Source organism: Homo sapiens, chromosome 7 (assembly GCF_000001405.40).
Source record: "Homo sapiens chromosome 7, GRCh38.p14 Primary Assembly".
Lineage (NCBI taxonomy): Eukaryota > Metazoa > Chordata > Mammalia > Primates > Hominidae > Homo > Homo sapiens.
In genome coordinates, this window is record NC_000007.14 from 39,540,904 (window position 1) to 39,567,260 (window position 26,357).

Consider the following 26,357-nt stretch of genomic DNA (forward strand, 5'->3'; position numbering starts at 1 on the left):
CTTAGGTCAGGAGTTCAAAACCAGCCTGGCCAACATGGTAAAACCCTGTCTTCGCTTAAAAAAAAAAAATATATATATATATATATATACATATATATACACACACACACACACGTGTGTATATACATATATATGTGTATATATACATATATGTATATATACACATATACATATATGTATATACACACACATATATGTATATACACATACATATATGTATATACACATATACGTGTATATATACACATATACGTGTATATATACACATATACATATATGTATATATACACACATACATATATGTATATGTATATATACACACATACGTATATGTGTGTATATATATGCAAAAACTAGCCAGGAATGGTGGCATGCGCCTGTAATCCCAGGTATTCGGGAGGCTGAGGCAGGAGAATCGCTTCAACCTCGGAGGTGAAGTTCGCAGTGAGATCACTCCACTCTACTCCAGCCTGGGTGACAAAAAAGGCCTGTCTAAAAAAAAAAAAAGATTTCTGGTTGAAGCCATAGGTGGAAGAGTTACCATGTTACCATTAATCAGAGGCCCAATCAAAGAAATAACTTGGTTCTGTTCTATTTTCTTCAAGGTCAAAACAAAGATTCACATGTTTCCTCTTACAATGATTTTCTCCTGCTCTGAACTCCTTCAGCATTTCTTTATACAAACTACAAAACACTCCCAGACAGGACGGAGCTCACTCACATCCATCAGGTCCCTGCAGGAAACAGATGGCACTCTCAAAAGGGTTGAGAAGAGTTTTTTGGGGGGACTATTTACAAAGGCGTGCACAGAGTTCAGGGAACTTGACAAGGACAGTGAAGTCCCACAGGGCTAGAGCTGGCAGGGAGTTGCTAACAACTACATCGGGTCTCCAACACACCCAGCCCATTCCTGCCTCATGGTCAGTGTATGTGCTGTTTTCTCTGCTTGAACTGTTCTTTCTCCAAATATCTCTATGGCTTACTCCTTCACCTCCTTCATTATTTAATAAAATATCACCTTGGCCTGACCTTATTTAAAAATTGTTAAAAAGCAAAATGAAACAACACTTCTCCTCTCTCCCCTCCTTTGTCTCCTAAGCAGTTATCACTGACATATTATGAATTTTACATATTTACCTTACTGTCTGTATTCCCCTCTAGAGTGTAAGTTCCATGAAATTGAGGAGTTTGATCTGTACACTGCTATATATCCCAGCACCTAGTACAATGCTCCACACACAGTAGGATGCTATTAAAGATTTGTTTAATGAACAGTTTCATTATGCCCACCTCAGAAGTAACTATGAAGTAGATTATATATTAACCTGATGCAAGGAATATTTTTTCAAAAGTCAAATTATAATACAAGCCAGAGACCAAAAAAACAGTCCATATTTGCTGTGTATAGCCTCATGAGTCTCTATCTACCTCCCTTGAGTTTCCATTAACTAGGTTAGCACTAGGTTGGCAAAGTTCTTGGTTCTCCAATATAGTTCAAAGACCAGCAGGAGAGCTGGGTAATCCGCCAGGCTTCCATGTTCACATGGAAATGTCATGTGAGCCCTCCAATGCCTTTACTCTGCCTCTGCACCCGTGGAACAACACTATGACCTGTAATTTCATTTTGCCCATTCATTTAAAGAATACATATTGGGCATCTACCATGTATCAAACAACCTAATGGCCAGAGACAGATATCCTTGGACAAAAAATATAAAGCTCCTACTCTCAATCCAAAAAAAAGTAATAAATCCAGTATCTGGACATAATGAGTACTATGGAGAAAAATAAAGCAGGGTAAAATAATAGAAAGTGGTGAGAATCCTATATTACATATGCCAAAAATAAAAGCCTTTCTGAGAAGACAGTATTTGGTGGAACCCACATCTGCCTCTCAGCCCATCCTGATGTCATGGGTGAGTTGCAGGAGGTCAACACAGAGCTGGCCACACACCTAGAGATCCAGCAGGAGCTTCAGGAGCTGCAGGTACGCCTAGCACAAATAAAGTGAGCTCACAGGACAGAGACAACTTGTACAAGCCGTCACAGCCCTGGTCCCTTGCACCCATCTTCAGAGAGAAAAGAAAAGCACAGCTGCTACCCCAATTCTACCATCCAAATGCTGGGTAATATGTCCCTTGTGGCCAATACAGACCTAGAATTACATAGGGAAGGGACCCACCTTCAGCCTAGCTAAGTTGACACAATACAAAACTACCAACAACATGTCAAGTATTTAAATGGCACTTACCATGTGCCACACACTATTCTAAGCACTTTATATAGATGAAACTCATTTAATTCTAGCATCTGCTTTATGAGGTGCATACTATTATTGGCCCAAGGGAAGCTAACAAACTTGGCAAAGGTCACACAGCCAATAAGTGACAAAGCTAGAATTTGATCCCAGGCAATCTGACTCCAGAGTCGTGTTCTTAACCACCACAAGAGTGTATTACACAGCTCCCGCACTCATGGAGAGACACACAAAACATAACACACATGTCAATTTATGATAGAATATCAAGTAGCAGTAAGTGCTATGAAGAGAGCGGGAGATGAGGCTAGACGATGATGGGGAGGGGCACAGTTATTTGGTAGAGAATGTAAATGAAGCCTTCTCAGTTGAAGCGATCTTGAGCAGAAACCTGAATGAGATGAGAGGGAAGGGTGCTCTGAGCTTGGGGAACAGCACAAGCAAAGGCCCTGGGGTGGGAGTAGGTATCGTATGTTCTAAAAAGCAAGGAGGTCAGCATGGGTGGTGCTGAGCGAGTAAGGGGAAGACTCATAGAAGCTGGGTAGGTGGAGGCTGGGGTAGATCTGGCCAGGCATTGAAAGATGTTGGCTTTTACTCAGAATGATGAGAACTCCTGGAAAGGTTGTGCGCATAGGACAATTTTACATCAGGGAACCCAGTTAAGTAAAAAGCATTTGCCAGAATCAGAGCGCACATGGTGAGAGCTCGCACAAGGGGTGTGACAAGAGGTCGGAGATGTTTTGAAGGTAGCATTGACATTTCCTAAGATTGGATGTAAAGACATCTCAGGTTTACGTAAATCACTAAGCAACAGGGGAGAGGTGTGTGGACTGTTGATCTCAGGAAGTGACCATCTATTCTGTGTATTTTCCCATCACCTGCCTCCAGAAGTATTCATGTATCCAGGTGTTCTGTTCTGCACCAGTGCTCTCCAGCAGAACTTTCTGCCGTGGTGGAAAAGTTCACATCTGTGCCATTCATTGTGATAGCCACTCACCACGTGTGGCTATCAAGCATTTGCAACATGGCCAGTGCAAATGAAGAATTAAACTTCTAATGTCATTTAATTTTAATTAAGTTAAAGTTAAATGTCCAAATGTGACTAGTGGGTACCATTTTGGACAGTGTAAATATAAATAATATCAAATATCAAATTGTTCAATAATTGAATTAATGTTTTGAAGGTCTTTTTTGTTCTTACATAAAACCTTAAAAAATATATTTCTTTTTGCTTTCCCAAATGATCTGGGTGCTCAGATAGGATTTCTCTGGGAGACTGTTCCTGCTGAGATCTCTTCCATACTTATGCTATGACACCAACCGAACTAAAGAACTGAGATAAATACCTACCTGATTCAAAAGGGAGAAGAAAAAACTTTCAACAGAATAATAACGCAAAAGTTATGCCATGACCTAATGTATCAGTCAGGGCTCTCTAGAGGGACAGGACTAATAGGATAGATGAATATATGAAGGGGAGTTTATAAGGACTATTGATTCACAAGATCACAAGGTGAAGTCCCACAATAGACTGTCTATGAGCTGAGGAGCAAGGAAGCCAGTCCCAGTCCCAAAATCTCAAAAGTAAGGAAGCCAACAGTGCAACCTTTAGTCTGTGGCCTAAGGCCCAAGAGCCCCTGGCAAACCACTGGTGTAGGTCCAAAAGTCCAAAAGCTAAAGAACATGGAGTCTGATGTTCAAGGGCAGGAAGCATCCAGCATGGGAGAAAAATGGAGGCCAGAAGACTCAGCCAGTGTAGTCCTTCCATGTTCCCCTGCCTGCTTTTATCCTAGCTGTGCTGGCAGCTGATTAGGCGGTGCCCACCCAATTAAGGGTGGGTCTGTCTCTCCCAGTCCACTGACTCAAATGTTAATCTCCTTGGCAACACTCTCACAGATACACCCAGGAACAATACTTTGCATCCTTTAATCCAATCGAGTTAACACTCAATATTAACCATCATACCTAAATTATAATCTTTTTTTCAGGTTCACAGAGCATTTTTACCCTTGCTATCTTGAAAGATCTTCCCAACAACCCTACGAGGGGAGCAGGTACTTCGGAGCAGATACTTCAGAGTAGAGAAAACTGGGGCAGAACTAAGGTGAGTGGGGTGCCCAAAGCAAATGATGATCAGATGAGCACCAAGACCTCAGCTGCTGCCTTCTGCCTCCAGGCCTCACCCTCCCTCCCCGATGACACGTGCTGGCCCTCACTTCTCTTAGCTTGTGCTAAGACCTTTCCAAATGAGTTCCTGTGTTCTTTCAAACCAACTTACTGGTTCAGTTTGAAAACTACACTTTCCTCAGCCTTTTTATTTGTTTAATTTATCGAAAGGTTATTTTTGATGAAACTTACATTTGGGAAGCTGTCAATTGGATTTTATGGGGTTCTATGCCTAGCTTCAGTGTGCCTTAACTAACAAAAGAGGGAAAATTAAACATTATTCCATAGGAAGCAAAGAATTGAAACATGAGCTGAATAATTTTAAATATCAAACTAAATTAAGTTTAAAAATAAATAAATAAAAGTGGTCTCAAAATCAGGAGCTCAATGGAGCACATCCCTTCCTAAAAATAGATTGTTCTGCACTTTCAGGAATTGATGATATCATTTCCATCGAAGGTTATTGTTCACACTTGGCAATATCTTCTTTAACCTTTCATCAGGATAAATGAACAAATTCATTCTAGATGATGAAAGGAAAGCATCTTTAGATCTTGAATGCATAATCTGGAAGAAAGGATTGGGGGTTAAGGTTAGAGATCCATACCTACACAAGCTCAACATCTAGTGAAGTGGGTCCCCTTCCAGTTCAAACTGATTACAGCAGGTAGAGACATGGCCCACCTGTCGCCAATATTGGCCCACAGGTCTTCAATATTGAAATGTAAAGGCGAGGAAGCGAATGCAAAACCAGAAGGGACATTTAATTATTCATCAAAATAGTGAGGCATAATTCTCAAATTCCTTTTGAAAGCAAAATATAGCTATTTAATTTTGAAATTACTTGCCAGAACATTCTAAATAATTTAAAATAAGACCTACTTTTGTTACTTCTAAAGTAAAAGTAAGCTTGTCTATCACATTTCCTCCTTTGGCAGACATCAATAATTCTGTGCCATCAGCCTCCTTTCTTTTTGCTTTGACTCTGAGCCTGACGTTGTCTCTGTTTGAAAGGATTCTTCACCAAAGTCATATATAAATAGGCCTTTTTTTTTTTTTTTGAGACAAAGTCTTGCACTGTCACCTGGACTGGAGTGCAATGGCGCAATCTTGGCTCACTGCAACCTCCACCTCCCGGGTTCACACTATTCTCCTGCCTCAGCCTCCTGAGTAGCTGGAATTACAGGTGCACACCACCACACCTGACTAATTTTTTGTATTTTTAGTAGAGACGGGGTTTCACTATGTTGGCCAGACTGGTCTCAAACTCCTGACCTCGTGATCTGCCCGCCTCGGCCTCCCAAAGTGCTGGGATTACAGGCATGAGCCACAGTGCCCGGCCACAGATAGGCTTTTTAAAAGTACACTGAGGCCAGGCACTGTGGCTCATGCCGGTAATCCCAGCACTTTGGGAGACTGCGGCAGGTAGATATTTGAGGTCAGGAGTTTGAGACCAGACTGGCCAACACAGTGAAACCCCATCTCTACTAAAAATACAAAAAAATTAGCTGGGCATGGTGGTGCATCACTGTAGTCCCAGCTACTTGGGAGGCTGAGGCAGGAGAATCACTTGAACCTGGGGGACAGAGGTTGCAGTGAGCCGAGATCATGCCACTATACTCCAGCCTGGGCGACAGAATGAGACTCTGTCTCAAAAAAAAAAAAAAAAAAAATTACATTGAAAGAGTTCCCAGTCCAGTTACCTAACATTTGGCATCCATATACAACAGTTGAGATGGTGTTCTTACCACACTCCATAAATCAGCAAACTAAGGCAGGAAGAGATTAAATAACTACTGAATGACAAAATCAGAATTTGAGCCACGTCTCTCTGACTCCAACTTATGTGTGTGTGTGTTTTAAATCTCCTTGGGTATAAAAGCTGGTTTCAGCATTATTTTCCCTAACTTTAAAAATATTTCCAATGTCTCAATAATGTATAATTGCCAATAAAAATCCCCCTAAGTCTCTGTTGTTCTTTGTAGGTAATTTGATTTTTCTCTCTGGTGACTTTCAGGAGTTTCTCTTCATCCTTAATTCCCTGCCATCTCACCCTGCAGTTTCATTGTGATATGCCCTGTGGATTTTCAAATCCTACTCAGCACCCACAGGCCTTTTAAATACCTTTTTTTTTCCTTTCTTGAAAACGCTCAGCTATTATATCTTTGAACAGTTCTTCTGCCATTCTCTTGACAATCTCACTCTGAAACTCCTATTAGACGTATGTTGGAGCTTCTTATCCTGTATGTTTTGTCTGTGAATTTGTCTTCCATGAAAATGTTGATCTGCAGAAGCTTTCTTCTTGAGTGCCTTAGACTGTAGAAGCCATGAGAGAGGCAGAAGGATTCTGAGTTTCCTCTGTCTGGGCCCTAGAGGATTTTTGAGACAAGGTCTTGCTCTGTTACCCAGGCTAGAGTGCACTGGCATGACCATGGCTCACTTCAGCCTTGACCTCCTAGACTCAGTCAGTCCTCCCATCTCAGCCACCCATGTAGCTGGGACTACAAGCACACACCACCATGCCTGGCTAATTTTTGTATTTTTAGTAGAGACAGGGTTTCACCATGTTGCTCAGGCTGGTCTCAAACTCCTGGGCTCAAGCAACCTACCTGCCTCAGCCTCCCAGTGTGCTGGGATTACAGGCATGAACCACTGGGCCTGGCCAGATTTGGTTTTTAATCTATCCTTCAGCTTGGGATTTCCACATTGCACCAGTGAGGACTCAGGGTTCCAATCTTTCAAATGACTTTTTCCATCCATGTCTCAAGACAGACAGCAATCTTCTGGTCATAACTCAGTGCCGGTGGGCAGGATATTCAGATGCCTTTTCACAAAAGATAACACATTTCTGCCCCCTGGTTCCATTAGGGAAATCCACTTCTGCTCATTCTGTGCAGGCCCTATATCCTCTCTTTTGATCCTTGCCTTTGTGTTGAAACTTCAACCCCTGGGGCCTACATTTAGTCCAGGTCCCTGTGCACCTCACAGTTTCTTCTGCCGTTTACTACTGTGGGCCCCTTACCCACCTCTGAAACCTAAAGACTTTCCATACTGCTTTTGCACTTCACTTTTTTTCTAGTATTTTCATTTTTTAAACATAACTCATTAACGTACCTGGAATTTATTTTAGCATATAATAGGAACTCATGATCTGTATTGATTTTTTTCCACAGAGCTAGATAAATTTCCCAAAACCATTAATTAATCTTTCTTAATGATATGTGATATTTCCTTTATCATATGTTAAGTTTTAAAGTTTGCTTCTAGGAAATATATTCCTTTCCATTGATCTATGGATCTATTCTTAAGCCACATTAACTAATTATTGTATTCTAAATATCCCATAGAATTGGCCCTTCTCCTTCCATTAATCTTCTCTTCATACTCTGCCCACTCTTTTTCCCATTTTTCTATTTTTGCAGGCAAGCTTTAGAACCAAAGGAGCAGTTCTCGACTTGCTGCCCTTTTGGGTTCTGCCTTAGTAGTAGTAGTAGTTATTTCCCCTTGACTGGAAATAAAGCCTAAACCAGGTAACCACTTGGTAGGAAGATGGGAGTGGAGAATCACTAAAAATAATTCTAAAGTTTCCTTGAATACTAGTTGTCTATTGACTCCAAGGTTCCTTCTAACTCTACAATTAGATTCTTGGCCAGGCAAAATGGCTCACCCCTGTAATCACTACACTTTGGGAGGCCAAGGCAGGAGGATCACTTGAGCTCAGGAGTTCAAGACCACCCTGGCCAACACGGCAAAACTCTGTCTCTACTAAAAATACAAAAATTAGCTGGGCATGGTGGCTTATGCCTATAATCCCAGCACTTTGGGAGGCCGAGGTGCCAGATCATCTGAGGTCAGGAGTTCAAGACCAGCCTGGCCAACATAGTGAAACCCTGTCTTTACTAAAGATACAAAAATTAGCCACGCATGGTGGCACAAGCCTGTAGTCCCAGCTACTCAGGCGGCTGAGGCAGGAGAATCACTTGAACCTGGGAGGTGGAGATTGCAGTGAACCGAGATCACGCCACTGCACTCCAGCCTGAGCAACAGAGTAAGACTCCATCTCAAAAAATAAATAAATAAATACAAAAATTAGCCGGGCATGGTGGCTCATGCCTGCAATCCCAGATACTCAGGTGGCTGAGGCACCCAGAGAATCGCTTGAACTCAGGAGGCGGAGGTTGCAATGAGCTAAGATCGCACTGCTGCACTCCAGCCTGGGCGACAGAGTAAGTGAGACTCTGTCTCAAAAAAAAAAAAAAGTGGCTGCACAGGACGATCACTTGAACCCAGGAGTTTGAGGCTACAGTGGGCTATGATCATGCCATTGCATTCCAGTCTGGGCAACAGAGTGAGACTCTGTCTCAAAATAAAATAAATAAAAGCAGAGTTCCTTGAAACATTATTACCCACAACTATTTTGTTCTGTACTAGAGAGAGCAGAGGTTAGTGGTCAGATAGACTAATACACTGACCAATTAGTCAAATGACCTTAAGGAAGTAGTCTGACTTTTATGAACCGTACCTTCCTTATCTATAAAATGGAGAGGGTAAATCCAACCTCACAGGGCTGTCAGGAAAATTCAAAGAAATAATGGAGGTAAAGCACCCATGATGGGGCCCATACAGTGTTCTTGTTTTTTGTTTGTTTTGTTGTTTGTTTTTTTCTGAGACGGAATCTCGCTCTGTCACCCAGGCTGGAGTGCAGTTGCACGATCTCCGCTCGCTGCATCACCTACTTCCCAGGTTCAAGTGATTCTCCTGCCTCAGCCTCCCAAGTAGCTGGGATTACAGGCGCCCACCACCACACCCAGCTAATTTTCGTATATTCAGTAGAGACAGGGTTTTGCCATGTTTGCCAGGCTGGTCTCAAACTCCTGACCTCAGGTGATCTGCCTGCCTAGGCCTCCCAAAGTGCTGGGATTACAGGCTTGAGCCACTGCACCCGACTTGGTGTTCTTTAAATGTTATCACCCAAGCCTTTTCCCTTTCAGGCAGCTTTCAGTCCTGAACTGCATCTTTGAAGGCATTAGGGTATCTTTGCAAAATAGATTCTAAGGTTAATTCCTTGGGGCTTCAAGGGATGTCTCACTGACTGGCCTCTTAGTCCTCTGTAAGAGGAAAGGAAAAGGTTAACCTTTAGTTTTGTGGAGTCCTGAGTTGGCGTCTTTATTTGACTGTCGGGAGCATTCAGCTAAGTTTTTGCCTTCAAAGATTTCTCTGCCAGCAGCAAAGAGAAAAGTGTGAACATTTTAAATGATTCAAGCCAGCTTGTCAGCATATTCTTCAAATCTTCCTACACATATATTTACACTTTGACTGTTAACAAGATGGATCATCCTTGGCCAGGCAGAGAAAGCAATTACTCTAGATGATTATCCCAGAATTGACACTAGCTTGGACTTAGCATCACTCCAACAATAGAAATTATCTGTTAAAAAGAACAAGATAGATATATATGGTAAAGTGGTTTTCTCTCCTAACTTGCCTTCAGTTAAAGCCCAGACGCCTCTAAGCGGGGCCAACGTTGTGAAGCAGTCTTCAACAAAGTCACATCAACCCTGCCCCACCTCACCATCCCTGGCCTAAGTCCTCATCCTGTTCCAAAACAGCCACCAACCCATTCAACCTTAACCCAGTGTGTTATCTATGGCTACCTTACTGCTCCATGTCGCTCCCACCACCATCACCCATGCCTGTGCTCACTGCTGTCCTCCTTGGCAAAATTGTGAAGTAAATGGTGTCTGCCTCTGTGGCATAGTAAAACATAAATACAATTGACCTTCGAACTACATGGGTCTGACCTGTGCAGGTCCACTGATACACGGATTTTCTTCCACCTCTGCCAACCCTAAGATGCAAGACCAATAAACCCCCAACCCCCGCTTCCTCCTCTTCAGCCTACTCAATGTGAAGGGGATGAGGATGAAAACCTTTATGATGATCCACTTCCACTTAATGAAGAGTAAAGTCATTTCCTCTTCCTTATGATTTTCTTAGTAACATTTTCTTTCTCTAGCTGACTTTATTGTAAGAATGAAGCACATAATGTATTTAACATACAAAATATTGGCTGGGCGAGGTGGCTCACACCTGTAATCCCAGCACTTTGGGAGGCTGAGGCGGGTGGATCACCTGAGGTCAGGAGTCCGAGACCAGCCTGGCCAACACGGTGAAACCCTGTCTCTACTAAAAACATGAAAATTATCCAGGCGTGGTGGTGCGTGCCTGTAATTCCAGCTACTCAGGAGGCTGAGGCAGGAGAATTGTTTGAACCCAGGAGGCCGAGGTTGCAGTAAGCCAAGATCACACCACTGTACTCCAGCCTGAGTGACAGAGAGACATTCTGTCTCAGAAAGAAAGAAAGAAGGAAGGAAGGAAGGAAGGAAGGAAGGAAGGAAGGAGAAAGAAAGAAAGAAAGAAAGAAAGAAAGAAAGAAAGAAAGAAAGAAAGAAAGAAAGAAAGAAAGAAAGAAAGAAAGAAAGAGAAAGGAAGGAAAGAAAGAAAAAGAGAGAGAGAAAGAAAGAAAGGAGAAGAAAAGAAAAGAAAGAAAGAAAAGAAAAGAAAACACACAAAAAAACATATGTTAATCAACTATTATGTTATCAGTAAGGCTTCAGGTCAATAGGCGCCTATTGGTGGTTAAGTTTTGGGGGAGTTAAATGTTATACTCAGATTTTTGACTGCACAAGGGGTCAGTGCTCCTAACCCTTGCATTGTTCAAGGGTAAACTGTATTTGGTCTTTATACCCTGTTCCTGGCATAGAACTCCAAAAATCCCTGAAATTTATTGTCTTTCATATACTCATGAGCTGACTCACTGAAAGCTGGTCACCAGAAAAACCAGCCACATGAATGGAGGGTTAGAAATTTCAGTCTCCCTCCCCCACCTCATTCTGGGGAGTGGAGGAAGGCTGGAGATTGAGTTCGATCACCCATGGCAAATGATTTAATCAATCATGCCTATGCATTGGCAATGAAACTTCCACAAAAACCACTAAATGACAAGATTTGAGGATCTTCCAGGTTGGTGAGCACACAGGTGTGCTGGGAGGGTAGTACCTGGAAAGGATGTGGAAGCTCTGTACCCTCCAGCCCCAAACCTTGACTTAGGGATCTCTTCCACCTGGCCCTAAGTTGTATCCTTTTTTTTTTTTTTTTTTTTTTGAGACGGAGTCTCGCTCTGTCGCCCAGGCTGGAGTGCAGTGGCGGGATCTCGGCTCACTGCAAGCTCCGCCTCCCGGGTTCACGCCATTCTCCTGCCTCAGCCTCCCAAGTAGCTGGGACTACAGGCGCCCACCACTACGCCCGGCTAATTTTTTGTATTTTTAGTAGAGACGGGGTTTCACCGTTTTAGCCGGGATGGTCTCGATCTCCTGACCTTGTGATCCGCCCGCCTCGGCCTCCCAAAGTGCTGGGATTACAGGCGTGAGCCACCGCGCCCGGCCTAGTTGTATCCTTTATAATAAACTGTAATAGTAAGTAGAGTATTTTCTTGAGTTCATTCTAACAAATTATCTAGTTAACTTGGGCCACACTAAGGCAAGGGTGAGGATCATAGGAATCCCCAACTTTGTTGTCAGTTAGACAGAAGTGTGGTTCACTGGGGACCACACTGGTGGCTAGCAGCTGAAATAGGGGCAGTCTTTTGGGACTGAGCCCTTTAACTTGTGGGATCTGACACTAACTCCAGGTAGATAGTGTCAGAATTGAACTGAACTATTGGACACCCAGTTGGTGTCAGAGAATTGGTGTGAAAAATATTCGGTGTCAATAATAGACACGCATTTGGTGTCAGAAGTGGTATCAGAAAACACTACACAGCCCCAGACTCCCTCCTCCTCCCCCTACCCCCTCCCCCCTGCCCCCAAAGTGCCATCTATCCTTATTGTGCTCCTTGGAGCCCCAAAAGTAGTTCATAAATCCCATAAGTCCTGGTTCCAAAATGGGCCTTAAACTACAGAATTGTCCCTTGCTCGTTCTCCCATCTCCTCCACCCACCACCACAAGAAATATAAACCTTCTTTGTCCAGTGCTTTGTCATGTTTATGTCTTTGTCCACCTGGAAAGTGTTTGCCTTCTGTTCCTATAAAGTTAAAGTTAAGCTCAAATGCCTTCTCAAAGTCTTCTCTAATCTCTCCACCAAACCTCATTTATCCCTGTTTAGAACAGTTCATCTCTACTTCTCTTTATCTGTATGCTTTATGGCATTTCAGTTTCTATCCACACTTTACTCTCGTGTTCATAATGCATTTTCCCTACTAGACTCTAAACTCTTTGCTGGCAAGGAGGTCACAGTCAAATTAGAGAAATATGTTGTGATCCATGTTTGAATTATCTTTGTATTCACAACCTGGCATGGTATTTACAGAATGAATACATGAATGAATCAAGCAGTCCCGCTACAGTGCTATGTGAAACCTACCAACCTTAAGAGCAAAATTAATCCCTTAAGTGAACATGTGCAGAATCTGCTCAGTGAAGTAGAGCAGCTCCGTTCTTTTCTACACATGAGGTCATGGGGGAAATCGAATGTATTTGACTGTGCTTACCACCCAATTTCTTGTTTTGCCCAGAATCCTCATTTCCAGGACCACAGCAACTTTTGAACTGGAATCAACCTACAAAGAATAAAATAAATAGCTGGGGTCTTTCCTACTAATAAGATGAATATTGTTTAATACTGCTTTCCTGCCATTTACTCCCAAACCTCAAAAGCCTCAGGCTGCCAGGTGCAGTGGTTCATGCCTGTAATCCCAGTACTTTGGGATTCAGAGGTAGGAGGATTGCTTGAGCCCAGGAGTTCAAGACCAGCCTGGGCAACAAAGTGAGACCCTATTCTCTACAGAAAAAAAAAAATCAAACAATTAGCCGGGCATGGTGGCACATGCCTGTGGTCCCAGCTACACAGGAGGCTGAGGTGGGAAGATCACTTGGGCCTGGGAGGTCAAGGCTGCAGTGAAACGTGTTTGTTCCACTGCACTCCAGCCTGGGTGACAGAGCCAGACCCTTTCTCAAATAAATAAGTATGTAAATAAATAAATAAATAAATAAACAAACAGCTTCAGGCCATTCAGAATTCTGAGAGTAATCATGAAGTGTTTTCTTGTACCTGCAAACCACAAACCAACTTGTGCAATTTAACAGCTTCCATTATCCGATATCTAATGATTTGGTAAGAAATAAAAACTTTGCCTTGCCAATATTTTGTGATTTATTCTCTCCAAAAGAAGTTGAAAATAGAAAAATGTAGGTGCTTTCAAACAATAAAACTCTTGACAAGTTCTGCTCACACCTATCATTCTTGGAGATTGAAGGTAACCACTCCCTTTCCCCACATGGAGAGCTGTTACAGCTCCAGGGAAATACTTTCCCCCAAACTCAACAGCTGATGAGAAACTAGAGATGAGAAACAAGAAAGGAACCAAAAGGAAGAATTGAGCACTGATCTCCATTAAGCTGACTCAACTAAATAAATGGCGAGGTTCCACTGTTACACTTCACTTCGCTATGCAGGCGGACGCTTCCATTTTATTGCCATAGTAAATTCAGACCAGAAAGTGGCAGAACATTGGCATTTCAATCAAGGCAGCTCCAGATAGGCACAAAGCACAGACGCAGGCTCAGGCAATCACACACTCACATACACTTTCCCTGCCCGGCCCACTCAGCTCTGTATGTTGAAAGCTTTATGAAAGAAAGGCTGGAGGATATCCAGAGATTGCTGACAAGATTCAAAGGGACGGAATTTTACAAATCCTTATAAAAGAACCAGGGGCCCTTCTTGCCAATGGGAATTTGAAATATGTCCCTCTGCTCCTCTGGCTGTACAGAAGGAAAAAAAATCACAAACAACTTGCTGAGAATATACATTCCCACAGAATACATCACCCTCAAGCTAAATGCTCACTGTCCTCCCTTCTTCTTTAAGAACTAAGAATCAGTGATGTTACTGGGGTAATAGCAAGCTGTCTGGCACCTTCAATCATTTGGCAAATTATAAAACAGGGCTATGTCACTTCAGCAACTGAAATAAGGAGGCAGACCAACATTATCAAATAAGCACGTGCAGTACAGGGTATAAGAAACAGAGCAATATTTCAAGCACTCACGAAATGACAAATTTTATGTTGAGCCACATCTACTGCAAAGCATCATATGATATTTCTTCAGGTACAGACATTGCACAAGGGTAACCTGTTCTGTGCACATTTGTAAAGTATTTATATTCCATCAGCTTTCTTGTCAGTAGAAAAATAATAGTGGTTCTTTGCACATATGCCAGATGAGTTTCATAATGGAAGCCATAGCTTGCTTCTAAGTAAATTATTAAATCGTCAGCTCTTTAATGAAATGGAATTGTCTGCACTCATCTTTCAGATAAAAGATGCTCTTTTGTAGAAAATGACTGTCCCTAGAATAGAAAAAATAATTTAACCACAGGATTCAGAAGATAGTGGAAAGGGAATGAAAGCAGCATTTATTGAGAAAAGCCCCAGAAACTGAGTAGGCACTTGCTATGTGATTTCACTAAATCTTAGTATTAACTCTACAAGAAAAGAACAATTATTCCCACATTAGAGATAAGCACATTCAAAGAGGCTGGATCACTTGCCCAGCCACAAAATGCTAAGAAATGGTAAAAATAAGATTTGAAAATGTAGAGCTTACTAAAACCTGAGCTTACTTAAATATTGTATGCTAACTCTCAGTCTGGATAAAGTTGGCCTAGATAATCATGCCCTGGCCTTTCAAGCCAGAATTAAATACTCTGTTAATAAGTAAGCCAATTGGTCAACTAATATGTATTAAGATCTATATATGAGTAATTGTATGTCACTCAACTATATTTCATATATATAGACTATGTGTCCTAATATAATTGCTGTTAGCAAAAAGGATTCACTAATCACAAGCATAGTCAGAACAACTTTTTTAAAAGAGTTAAGTAGAGTGAAAACTAAGTCATCTAATCCGTCAATCCATTAATTCATTCAACAAATATTTATTTGAGTGCCTATGTCCTATGTATTGTTCTAGACATTGGGGATACAGCAATGAACGAAACACATAGCATCTCTACTGTCATAGATTTTACATCCTAATGATGAAGACAGACAATAAATAAGCAAATGGATAATATGTCATTAGTGCAATGATTAAAAAAAATAAGGCAGGATTGAAAAGGGAGAGTGATTGGGGGTTCTACTTTATATTAAAATAGGTAAAGGTCTCTCCAATAAGGCAACATTTGAACAGAGACCTGAAGGATGTGAGGGAGCAAGCCATGGGAGGAGAGAAAAATTGTTCCACAAAGAGAGAAGTACAAAGACCCTAGGGCAAGAGTGTGCTCAATATGTTCAAAGTCAGCAAGGAGGCAAGTGTAACTGGGGAGAAGGAAGTGAGGAGGAAAGACAATAGAATAAAAGAAACTAAAAAGACATGTCAGCTCCATATGTGTGGAATGTTTAGGTTCTAATTCAAATAGAGGTAACTGAGACAATTAAGAAATTATTGGGGTGGGCAGAAATGGAGATGTAGGGGAAGGAAAGGGATGACAAATGCAGGGGGTGAAAGGGAAAGTGGTTAAGTTATTCCGGAGTCAAAAAATCTCGGAGAGGACTCTGAAAATCCTTGAAGCATCTGATCTCAGCTCAGATAAAAGAAATAAACATAATTGCTAACATTTATTGAGCACTGCTTTTGTGTGGTTATTCTTTTAATCTTCTGATATCTATATGAAGGTAGTATTAGTAATATTCAATGTTACAGATGAGGAAACTGAGGCACAGACAGATCAAGTAACACACCCAAGACTACACAGTCAGTAAGTGGCAAAATAAACGTTCAAATCTATAAATTTGACCCCAGAGCCCTTGTTCCTAACCACTGGGCTCTACTTAGAGCATTCCTTACCAGATAATAATGTTTCCAAATAAATGTGAGATGAAAATAATACTGTCCCTGACCACTAAGAGGCCATAAGTGAGTAGATTACTAGGTAGGTAAAATAGAGTTATGGGAGAATGTTAGTAAGCAGATGCAACCACAGAAGCAGGAACCCGTATGGGGGAGTAGGGAGTGGCTCAGTCTCTGCAGAAAGGCAGGCAAAGGAATAGTCACAAAAATCCTCCTCCTCCAACAGAGGTGGGGTTTCCCTGAGGTTCCTAAGTAATGAAGAGAAGATCTGGCATGCAGAATCTGTCATGCAAGAAATGTTTATTGAGCCAACAGATATATTTTTAAATGTTCAACATAACTAACCATCAGAGAAATACAAATCAAAGCCACAATGAGATGTCACTTCACCCAGTTAGAATGGCTGTTACCGAAAAGACACAAAATAACAAATGCTGGTGAGAATTTAGAGAAAAGGGAACCTTACATACTGTTAGTGGGAATGTAAATTAGTACAGCCATTATGGAAAACAAAATAGGGGTTTCTCAAGAAAACTAAAAATAGATCTACCATATGATCCACCAATCCCACTACTGGATATTTATCCAAAGAAAAGAAGTCAGTATATTCAAAGGGATGCTTGCATTCCCATGTTTATCATAGCACTATTCACAATAGCAAAGATAATGGAATCAACCTAAATGTCCCATCAACAGACAAAGAGATAAAGAAATGTTGTATACACAATGAAATACTATTCAGCCATTTAAAAAGAATGAAATCCTTCATTTTGCAGTAACATGAGTGAGCTTGGAGGACATTATGTTAAGCAAAATAAGTCAGGCACCAAAAGATAAGAACCACATGTTTTCACTCATGTGAGAGCTAAGAAAAAAATTTTGAGCTTTTGGAAGTAGAGTGTAGGATTGTGGCTATTAGAGACTGAGAAGGGTAGGGAGGAGGGGAAGATAGGGTGAGATTAGTTAAGAGATAAAATTACAGCTAGATAAGAATGAATTCTGGTGTTCTACAGTACTGTAGAGTGAATATGGTTAGCCATAATTTATTGTACATTTTCAAAAAGGTAGAAGAGAAGCTTTTGAATGTTCACAACACAAATGATAAATGCTTGAGGTGATGGATATACTAATTAACCTATACACACATGGAAATATCACTCGATATCCCATCAATGTGTACAATTATTACGTGTCAACCAAAAATAAAAGGGGCTGGGCCCAGTGGTTCATACCTGTAATTCCAGCACTTTGGGAGGCTGAGGCAGGAGGATTGCTTGAGTCCAGGAGTTTGATACCAGCCTAGGCAACATACTGAGATCTCATTATCTCATTTCAACAACAACAGCAAAAATTTTTTAACTAGCTAGACATTGTGACATGCACCTGTAGTCCCAGCTACTTAGGAGGCTGAGGCAGGAGGATCATTTGAGCCTAGGAGGTAGAGGCTACAGTGAGCTATGATCATGCCACTGCACTCTGGCCTGGGCAACAGAGCGAGACCTTGTCTCAAAAAATAACAATAATAAATATAAATAAAATAAAATAAAGGGAAAAAATCACCAAAAAAAGAAATATTTATTGGGTGTTCACTATGTGGCAGGGACTATGCTGGGAACTAGGGTTATAGAAGTAAGCAAGACAGTCAGGGAGGCACAGGAGCAATTTTTAAAAATATAAACAAAAATATTAGCAAGATCCTTTTGTTTGTTTGTTTTTTGAGATGGAGTCTCGCTTTGTTGCCCAGGCTAGAGTGCTGTGGCACGATCTCAGCTCACTGCAACCTCTGCCTCCCGGGTTCAAGCAATTCTCTCCTGCCTCAGCCTCCCAAAATGCTGGGATTACAGGCACCCGCCACCACGCCCAGCTAATCTGTGTGTGTGTGTGTGTGTGTGTGTGTGTGTGTGTGTGTGTGTGTGTGTGTTGAGATGGCATTTCACCATGTTGGCAGGTCTGGTCTCGACCTCCTGACCTCAAGCTATCCGCCTGCCTTGGCCTCCCAAAGTGTTGAGATTACAGGCATGAGCCACCATGCCCAGCCAGCAAAATCCTTTTAAATATTTCTCTAAGTATCATTATACACATAAAAAATAAAGGTACCTATTAATGGAGATGCTCCTTTAGGCTGAGTAGAAAGGGAAGCCCTCTTCAAGGAGACAGGATTTGTACTAAATGTATTAAAATCCACATGATTAAAAGGAGCCAATCGCTGGGCACTGTGGCTCACACCTGTAATCTCAGCTACTTGGGAGACTGAGGCAGTAGGATCACTTGAGTCCAAGCATCTGAGGCTGCAGTGAGCTGTGATCACACCACTGTACTTCCGTCTGGGTAACACAGCGAGACAAAAAAAAAAAAAAAAAGGAGTCAATCATGCTAATATCTGGAATAAAGCATTCTTGGCAGAAGCATTAACTGCTGCAAATTGCTCTTGGGTGGGCACAACACTTACTGACCTTGTAAGGGGACACACCACCATTGACCTTGTAGAAGAAATAGTAGGCAACATACACGTGCTCCCCCAGCTTCTAGTGCAATAGCTAAAGTTCAACAAATAATTGTTGAATTATGCAAGTAAAACTCCACCAAAAAAAGTTTTGATCTTTGGCAAGAGTATGAAATATTCTTCAGCTAAATCGAACTTAACAATGTCAAGGAAAATTTACAAAGAATAAAAACAATTTCAAAGTATTAAATTGGCTGGGTGCAGTGGCTCACACCTGTAATCCCAATACGCTGGGAGGCCAAAGTGAGAGGATCACTTGAACCCAGGAGTTCAAGACCAGCCTGGCCAACATAGCGAGACCCTTGTCTCTACAAAAAAAAGTGTAATTAGCAGATGTGGTGGTGTGCTAGTTACTCAGGAGGCTAAGGAGGGAGGATCACTTGAGCCCAGGAGGTCAAGGCTGCAGTGAGCTGTGATTGTGCCACTGTACTCCAGCCTGGGCGACAGGGTGAGACCTGTCTCAAAGAAAAAAAGAGGAAGACAGATCACCTGTCTGACATTTCTACTTCATACTTTGTAATATTCAACAAACATTCTATATTGGAACTGGAGTCATCTACAGACTTTAAAAGAAAGGAGGCAAGTCTGCTCAGAATCAACCTACTATTCTTATTCCAAGGTCCTCTCTTAGAAGCTGTTTTTTGAATAATTTCCCATCTATTTTCACCACCAGCAAGAATTTTATTTTTTCTAATACATATTACACAGTCTTGCAAACCTGATATAAGTAATTAAAAGACAGCAACCAAGGAGTTAGTTGCTGAATGCCACTAAGGATAGAACATACGAAAGTTTAGAAGGGACAAGGAAAAGTGGGAAAATGACTTCACTTGGCATATGGAAATCAGTCCTGCTGGCTGGTTGCCAAAGACAGAATGATTAAAGCCCTAGTGTGCTAGAAACTTTGAAGAGAAGTATAGAAAAGGTCTGTGCCCTCTTAGAGTTTATTATATCAACTACAAAAGAGCAGTTTGCAAAAGTCACAAATAAAGTTCTGAAGACTGAGATAAAGAATAAAACTTAGCAGGAGATTAGAAATAGAAGGACATAAAAAAGAATTGTTGAAGGCTTTGAAGGAAAAGACAAGGATGAACGATAAGCAGAAGAATGGGAAGGAGATACAGTGAATTCTAAAGGTTGACCTGATCAGAGTATTTATATAAGAGATACTGAGGTGTAAGATAAGTTTACTAAATACCCGGGAGTGAATTCACGTTGTGACATCAAAATTTACGCAGGGGATGTCATTGTTATTTACAGTTCACTTTTTTAAAAAGGAGGGGAAATGCTGTTTTGGAAACAATAGAATCACACACTTGAAAAGACCTTGAAAGATCATCTGGTCCTTGAAGGCTTGGTTAGCTGTCAGCCTCCAGCTGTAAGCACCTACAGGATCTGCCTTCGATTTCTAGCTAAGGCCATAGTCTTCCAGGGCAACCCCCAGCCAATGATTGAGCATAGCAGGAATATCAAGGTCTGGCTGTGTGTGCCTAATGCAGGAATCCTTTTGTTCTTTGCTCCAGAGTTCCTTTTTATGTTGGCTAAAGCTTTGTTGGATCTACACAGCAATCTGAGGCTCTCTTTGCCCTATCCTGCTTCTTCCTCCCTTCCCTATTACAGGAATCAGATCAACATCACTTTCTGAAGGCTTTCCCTGCCTAATCATGTTCCTCCTCTTTTTATCTTTCACAGACATTATACTCCCCACCCACCTATAGACCTCATGCACTCCTGACTCTATCTCCATATCTGTCTCCTGCTGGATATAATAAATGCAAAGAACATAGTCATAAAACATGTAACCAACAAAAGACTTATGTCCAGAATATACAAAGAACCTTTAAACACAATAAGAAAACAACCTAATTTTTTATAGACAAAGATTTCATTTAAAAAATATACAAATTGGCCAGGCGCGGTGGCTCATGCCTGTAATCCCAGCACGTTGAGAGGCCGAGGCGGGTGGATCATCTGAGGTCAGGAGTTCAAGACCAGCCTGGCCAATATGGTGAAACCTCATCTCTGCTAAAAATACAAAAATTAGCCGGGCATGGTAGCAGGCGCCTGTAATCTCAGCTTCTCGGGAGGCTGAGGCAGGAGAATCGCTTGAACCTGAAAAGCAGGGGTTGCAGTGAGCCGAGATTACGCCACTGCACTCCAGACTGGGAAAGAGAGCAAGACTCCATCTCCAAAAAAAAAGAAATACATATACAAATAACAAATAAGCACATGAAAATGTGTTCAATATCATAAGTCATCTGGAAAATGCAAATTAAAGCCACAGTAATAGATACTACTACACACTCATTAGAATAGCTAATGTTAAAAATACTGTCAATTCCAAGTGAGGCAGAGGATGTGGATCAACTGACACTCAAACATTGATGGTGGAAGTGTAAAGTGGTACTATCTCTTTGGAAACACAGCTTACAGTTTCTTATTGTATTAGTCCATTCTCATGCTGCCACAGAGGACCGCTCCAGACTGGCTAATTTATAAAGGAAAAAAAGTTTAATTGACTCACAGTTCCGCAGGGCTGGGGAGGCCTCAGGAAACTTAAAATCATGGTGGAAGGGGAAGCAAACACATCCCTCTTCACATGACGTCAGGAAGGAGAAGTGCCAAGCAAGAGGGGGAAAAGGCCCTTATAAAACCATCAGATCTCATGAGAACTCACTCACCATGACAAGAACAGCAGCATGAGGGTAACTGCCCCTATGATCCAATTAACTCCCACCAGGTCCCTCTCATGACACGTGGGGATTGTGAACTACAATTCAAGATGAGATGAGATTTCGGCGGGGACACAGCCAAACCATACCACTTGTTTTTTTGTTTTTTTTTCTTTTGAGACAGAGTCTCGCTCTGTCGCCCAGGCTAGAGTGCACTGGTGCGATCTCAGCTCACTGCAACCTCCACCTCCCAGGTTCAAGCGATTCTCCTGACTCAGCCTCCTGAGTAGCTGGGATTACAGGCGTGTGCCACCACGCTCAGCTAATTTTTGTATTTTTAGTAGAGATGGGGTTTCACCATGTTGGTCAGGCTGGTCTCAAACTCCTGATCTCATGATCTGCCCGCCTCGGCCTCCCAAAGTGCTGGGATTACAGGTGTGAGCCACCGTGCCCGGCCCATACCACTTATAATGTTAAATGTATACTTACTATATGACCAGCAATTCCACTTCTAGATATTTACCCAAGAGAAATGAAAACGTGTACACAAAATGGCATGTACAAAAATGTCCACAGCAGCTTTATTCATAATAGCCAAAAACTGGAAACAATCCAAATGTCCAAAAATGACTACATGAACAAATCATGGTATAGCCCTATAATGAAAATAGTACTTAGCAATAAAATAGATCAATCTACTGGTACATGCAACCAAATAAATGAATCTCAAAAACATGTTGAGTCAAAGAAGCCAAATATATTAAAGGACATATACAATTCCATTTCTATGAAATTCTAAACTGGCAAAACTAATCTAGTGATAAAAATTGGATCAAGGGTTGCCAGGGATGAGAGACTGACCACAAAGGAGCACGAGGAAATTCTCTGGGGTGATGGAAATTTTCTATATCTTCATAGGTGGTGTTTACACTCAAAATGTATGCATGTTACTGCATGATTTTAAAAATGTGTTCCTGACATTTACAAATATAGTACTAAATAAACACTAAATACTAAACAAACATGTCATTACTATATTTAATAATATTTGTTGGTATTTCAAGTGGAATATTTATCTCATTTACATTTCTAGATGATTATTACTAGAAGAGGCTATTGGTGTGTTTATTTTTCTTATATTCACAGACTTTATCAAATTTCTTTATTCTGTTATTTTTTAAGCAAAGTCTTTTGGGTTTTCTAGGTATATAATCATATAATGACCAAAAGGAATATCTTAGGCTGGGCATGGTGGTTCATGCCTATAATCACAGCACTTTGAAAGGCTGAGGCAGAAGGATCACTTAAGGCCAGGAGTTCAAAACCAGCCTGGGCAACAAAGCGAGACCCCCGTCTCTACTAAAAATAATTTAAAAATTAGCTGGGCATTGTGGTGCGTGCCTGTAGTCCCAACTACCTGGGAAACTGAGGCAGGAGGATTGCTTGAACCCAGGTGTTTGAGGTTGCAGTGAGCTATGATTGCACCACTGCATTCCAGCTTTGGTGGCAGAACAAGATCCCGTCTCATTTTTTAAAAAGGAATATCTTCATCTTTTATTATCCAACATTTATACATGTTATTTTGTTTACTTCTCTTATTGCAAGTGCTAGTGTGCTAGTCTCTAAAAGAATATTAAGTAATAATAGTGACTACCAGATGCCCTCTCCTTTCTATATGTTAAAGGAAATATCTGAACATCTAAGTGTTTAAAATACTACTCGTTGGAATTTTTGTAAAGTCTTTACCAATTTGTAGTTTCTATTTCTACTTTATTTTGTTAGAAATGATTTTTAAATTTTTTCAAATAACTTTTTAGCATTTATTAATATAACATGTTTTTTCCCTTTTATATTGTTGATGCAGGCTAGGCACAGTGGCTCATGCCTGTAATCCCAGCACTTTGGGAGGCTGACACAGGAGGATAGCTTGAGCTCAGAAGTTGGAGACCAGCCTAGGCAACATAGTGAGACTCCTGTCTCTACAAAAAAATCAAAAAATTAGCCAGGTGCAGTGGTACATGCCTGTAGTCCTAGCTACTCAAGAGGTTGAGGCAGGAGGATAGCTCAAGCCCAGGAGATCAAGGATGCAGTGAGTTGTGATCTCACCACTGCACTCCAGCCTGGGTGACAGAGCAAGACGCTGTTTTAAAAAAAAAAAAAATAGTCAATGCAATGAAATATTATTGATGTCCTAATATTGCAAAAGTTTGCTTTCCTGGTACAAAACCTCTTAAATTATTCTTTTGATAAAGTACTACCAGGTTGGTGCAAAAGTAAACCCCAATTAATTTTGCACCAACCTACTAGATTCTCTTTTGGATATATATTCACAAGCTAACTTGAACTTTGGGGTTTTTCTGGTACTATCTTTATGAAGTTACAGTAAGGCTGGCTTCATGAAATGATTTAAGGAGTTTCTTCTTTTTCTCTCCCCTAAAATGGTAAAAATAGTTTAAGACTCCATCATTCCTTAAAGATTGCAAAGGACTTAATGTGAAACTCCCAAGTCTCCATGACATTTTTAATAGTAGATATTTAATGTCCAATTTTTCTATGGTAATTAGTCTCTTCATGACCCTACTTCTTGGGTCAATTTTCTTAGAAAGTCATTCATATCTCTCAGGTTTTCGAATGTGTTGCTTTTGAGTTTTAGTTGGTAATTAATATTTTAATCTCCTTCTGCATCAGTGGTTATCTCATTTCTCATTCTTGTATAATTTTGTTCTCTTTAAAAATCTGGGTCATGACAGGATTATCTATCTTATTGGTGTTTTCAAATAATACAAAAAAGAATTGGACTTACTTATTCAAGTTTTGAGGTTTTCTATTTTATTGTTATCTTTATTGCTTACTACCATTTTGTTCCTAATAAAGATATATACATATATCTTAATATATTTACATTAATAAAATATACATATTTGTAGTTTATATATTTTTTATTTGTGGGATGCCAAATTCTCTCTGGAGATTTAAAATTGTAACATGAACCAACCACCCACTCCCACACACTTATGGTTCTTACTGTGCTTATTTAAAAATTTTTTTCATAGCATTTATTTATGATCTTCTAACAAACCTTATGCTACTTATATATTGCTTATTGTTTATCCTGTCAATTTTACATGACTATAAAGTCGACAAGGGTTGGGAACTTCCGTCTGTTCATTGATGTATCCCAAAGCCTGGAATGGTACCTGACACAAGGTAGGTGTTCAATAAATTGTTAGATAAATAAATCATAATCACATGACTCATTTTACCCAGGCAAAGGGCAAAACAGGAATACTACAGGTATTCATTCATTCACCAAAATAGAGTTCAGCATTTACTATGTGTCAGAACTGTCCTGGTGTTGACACAAGTCCCCACCCTTACCAAACCAACTGTTTACTTTAGGGCATATGAACAGGAATGGGAGGCAGAAGGATATCGTGAATCAATGAAAAAATATATTGGCTTTACAAATGTACTCTATATTTCTTACTAATCTCAAATTGGCTACAGTACCTCGCTTTTCGATCCTATTTTCCTTTACTCCACAATCCTAACAGTTTAAAATGTCGGCTTGTCAAATCCTTTAAATGCAGAGGAGATTCCAAAAGAGACAAAGTATTTGGGTGGTAATCGCCCATCGACTTTACTACCTTTAATAGTTTACCAAAGCGCGCGAATGTAAAACCCAGACCATGGTAAGACTACGGTGGAAATGGAAGGTGTCTCACTGAGGGTCCCGGTTGCCTTCTGCAAAGGTGAAGGTCGTGCCGGCCACGCGAGGAAATCTGCCTCGCTCACAACTCACAGGCACACATCAACACTGCCAACCGAGGGAGCCCAAAATCACCGCAAGCGAAAGGCTCCGGCGGCGGCCACGGGCCACAGCCCGCCTCCGCGCACACGCAGCCCCTCCCGAGCCTCCACTCGCCGTCTTCGCCCCGCCTTCGGACCGGAAGGAGTTGTTGGCGCTTCCGGTGGCCTGCGACCCCGTAATTGCCTCGGTGATGTCGTGGGTTCAAGCAGCCTCCTTGATCCAGGGCCCTGGAGACAAAGGGGACGTGTTTGACGAAGAAGCAGACGAGTCGCTCCTGGCGCAGCGGGAATGGCAGAGTAACATGCAAAGACGAGTCAAAGTAAACGTGGTGTGGACGGCGCGGGGTGCTGGGTTGTGGGAAGAGGCGCGGAGTTGTGAAGAAGCTGGGTCCAGAGTGGCCCCAGCCTGGCCCGGCGCTGCTCTCTTTATCCCTAGGGACCCGGTCCGACCCGCGTCTTGCTAGGATTTCTCGATGGTTACTTGAAAGCGTGTAAAACAACAAGACGCATTCTTTGAGCGCCTACGGGATGCGTTAGAAACTGAGGACCGACCAAAATTAACTATGTGTAGACTTTGAACAGTTTGCAGTTTGTTGAGGATCACAGGGAAAGGAGCTGGAGAGAAACATACACTATACTTATTATGGCTGTCAAAGGACGTGTACGCAGTTTATATGGGTGGCTTGAATGGGTAGGGAGCCTAAAGTTAAGGAGTAGTGTTAATCAAGACATATTGAAAAGATGAACTAAAGCATGCTGTCAGAGGACAATAAGGGAAAGCTAATGTGGAATACTGGTGTCTAGGTAAGGGAATATTAAAGTTGGTTTCTTTTTTATTTGTTAGATGTAACTTTTTCATCTCTAATTTGTCTCACTATTCATTGAAACTAAGCTTAATTTCTGTGTGCAGCCTACAGTATTTCTGGGTGAGGACCAAATAGTGAGGTCCACATCCACTTAATATATTTGCCAACCATTAAATTGCCGCTAAAGCTGCAGTTGGGAATCTGCCCTGTTTAATATTTCAGTAGAG

The 26,357-nt window shown here is 41.2% G+C and overlaps 1 protein-coding gene and 1 long non-coding RNA gene across 3 annotated transcripts in view, besides 1 other annotated feature; one reads left to right on the forward strand and one right to left on the reverse strand.

Moving 5' to 3' along the window:
• Window positions 1-10,425: 10,425 nt before the first annotated feature.
• YAE1-DT (YAE1 divergent transcript) lies at window positions 10,426-25,446 on the reverse strand. Its single transcript, NR_187579.1, has 3 exons — window positions 25,240-25,446; window positions 12,973-13,041; window positions 10,426-10,766 (listed from the first exon to the last, which is right to left on the reverse strand). It is a non-coding gene; the product is annotated as a YAE1 divergent transcript (long non-coding RNA).
• Window positions 25,338-25,787: an enhancer, noted in NCBI's record as "active region_25876". NCBI's record gives its function as "activates an Ori minimal core promoter by ATAC-STARR-seq in GM12878 lymphoblastoid cells {active_cell/tissue: GM12878}" and the evidence as "EXISTENCE:reporter gene assay evidence [ECO:0000049][PMID:35858748]".
• The window catches only part of YAE1 (YAE1 maturation factor of ABCE1), a 45,686-nt gene continuing 44,829 nt past the window's right edge, over window positions 25,501-26,357 (forward strand). For both annotated transcript variants that reach the window (NM_001282446.2, NM_020192.5), the window contains exon 1: window positions 25,501-25,644. In NM_001282446.2, coding sequence (NP_001269375.1) covers window positions 25,516-25,644 — 129 coding nt within the window. In that variant the 5' untranslated portion in view covers window positions 25,501-25,515. The remainder of the gene's footprint in view (window positions 25,645-26,357) is intronic.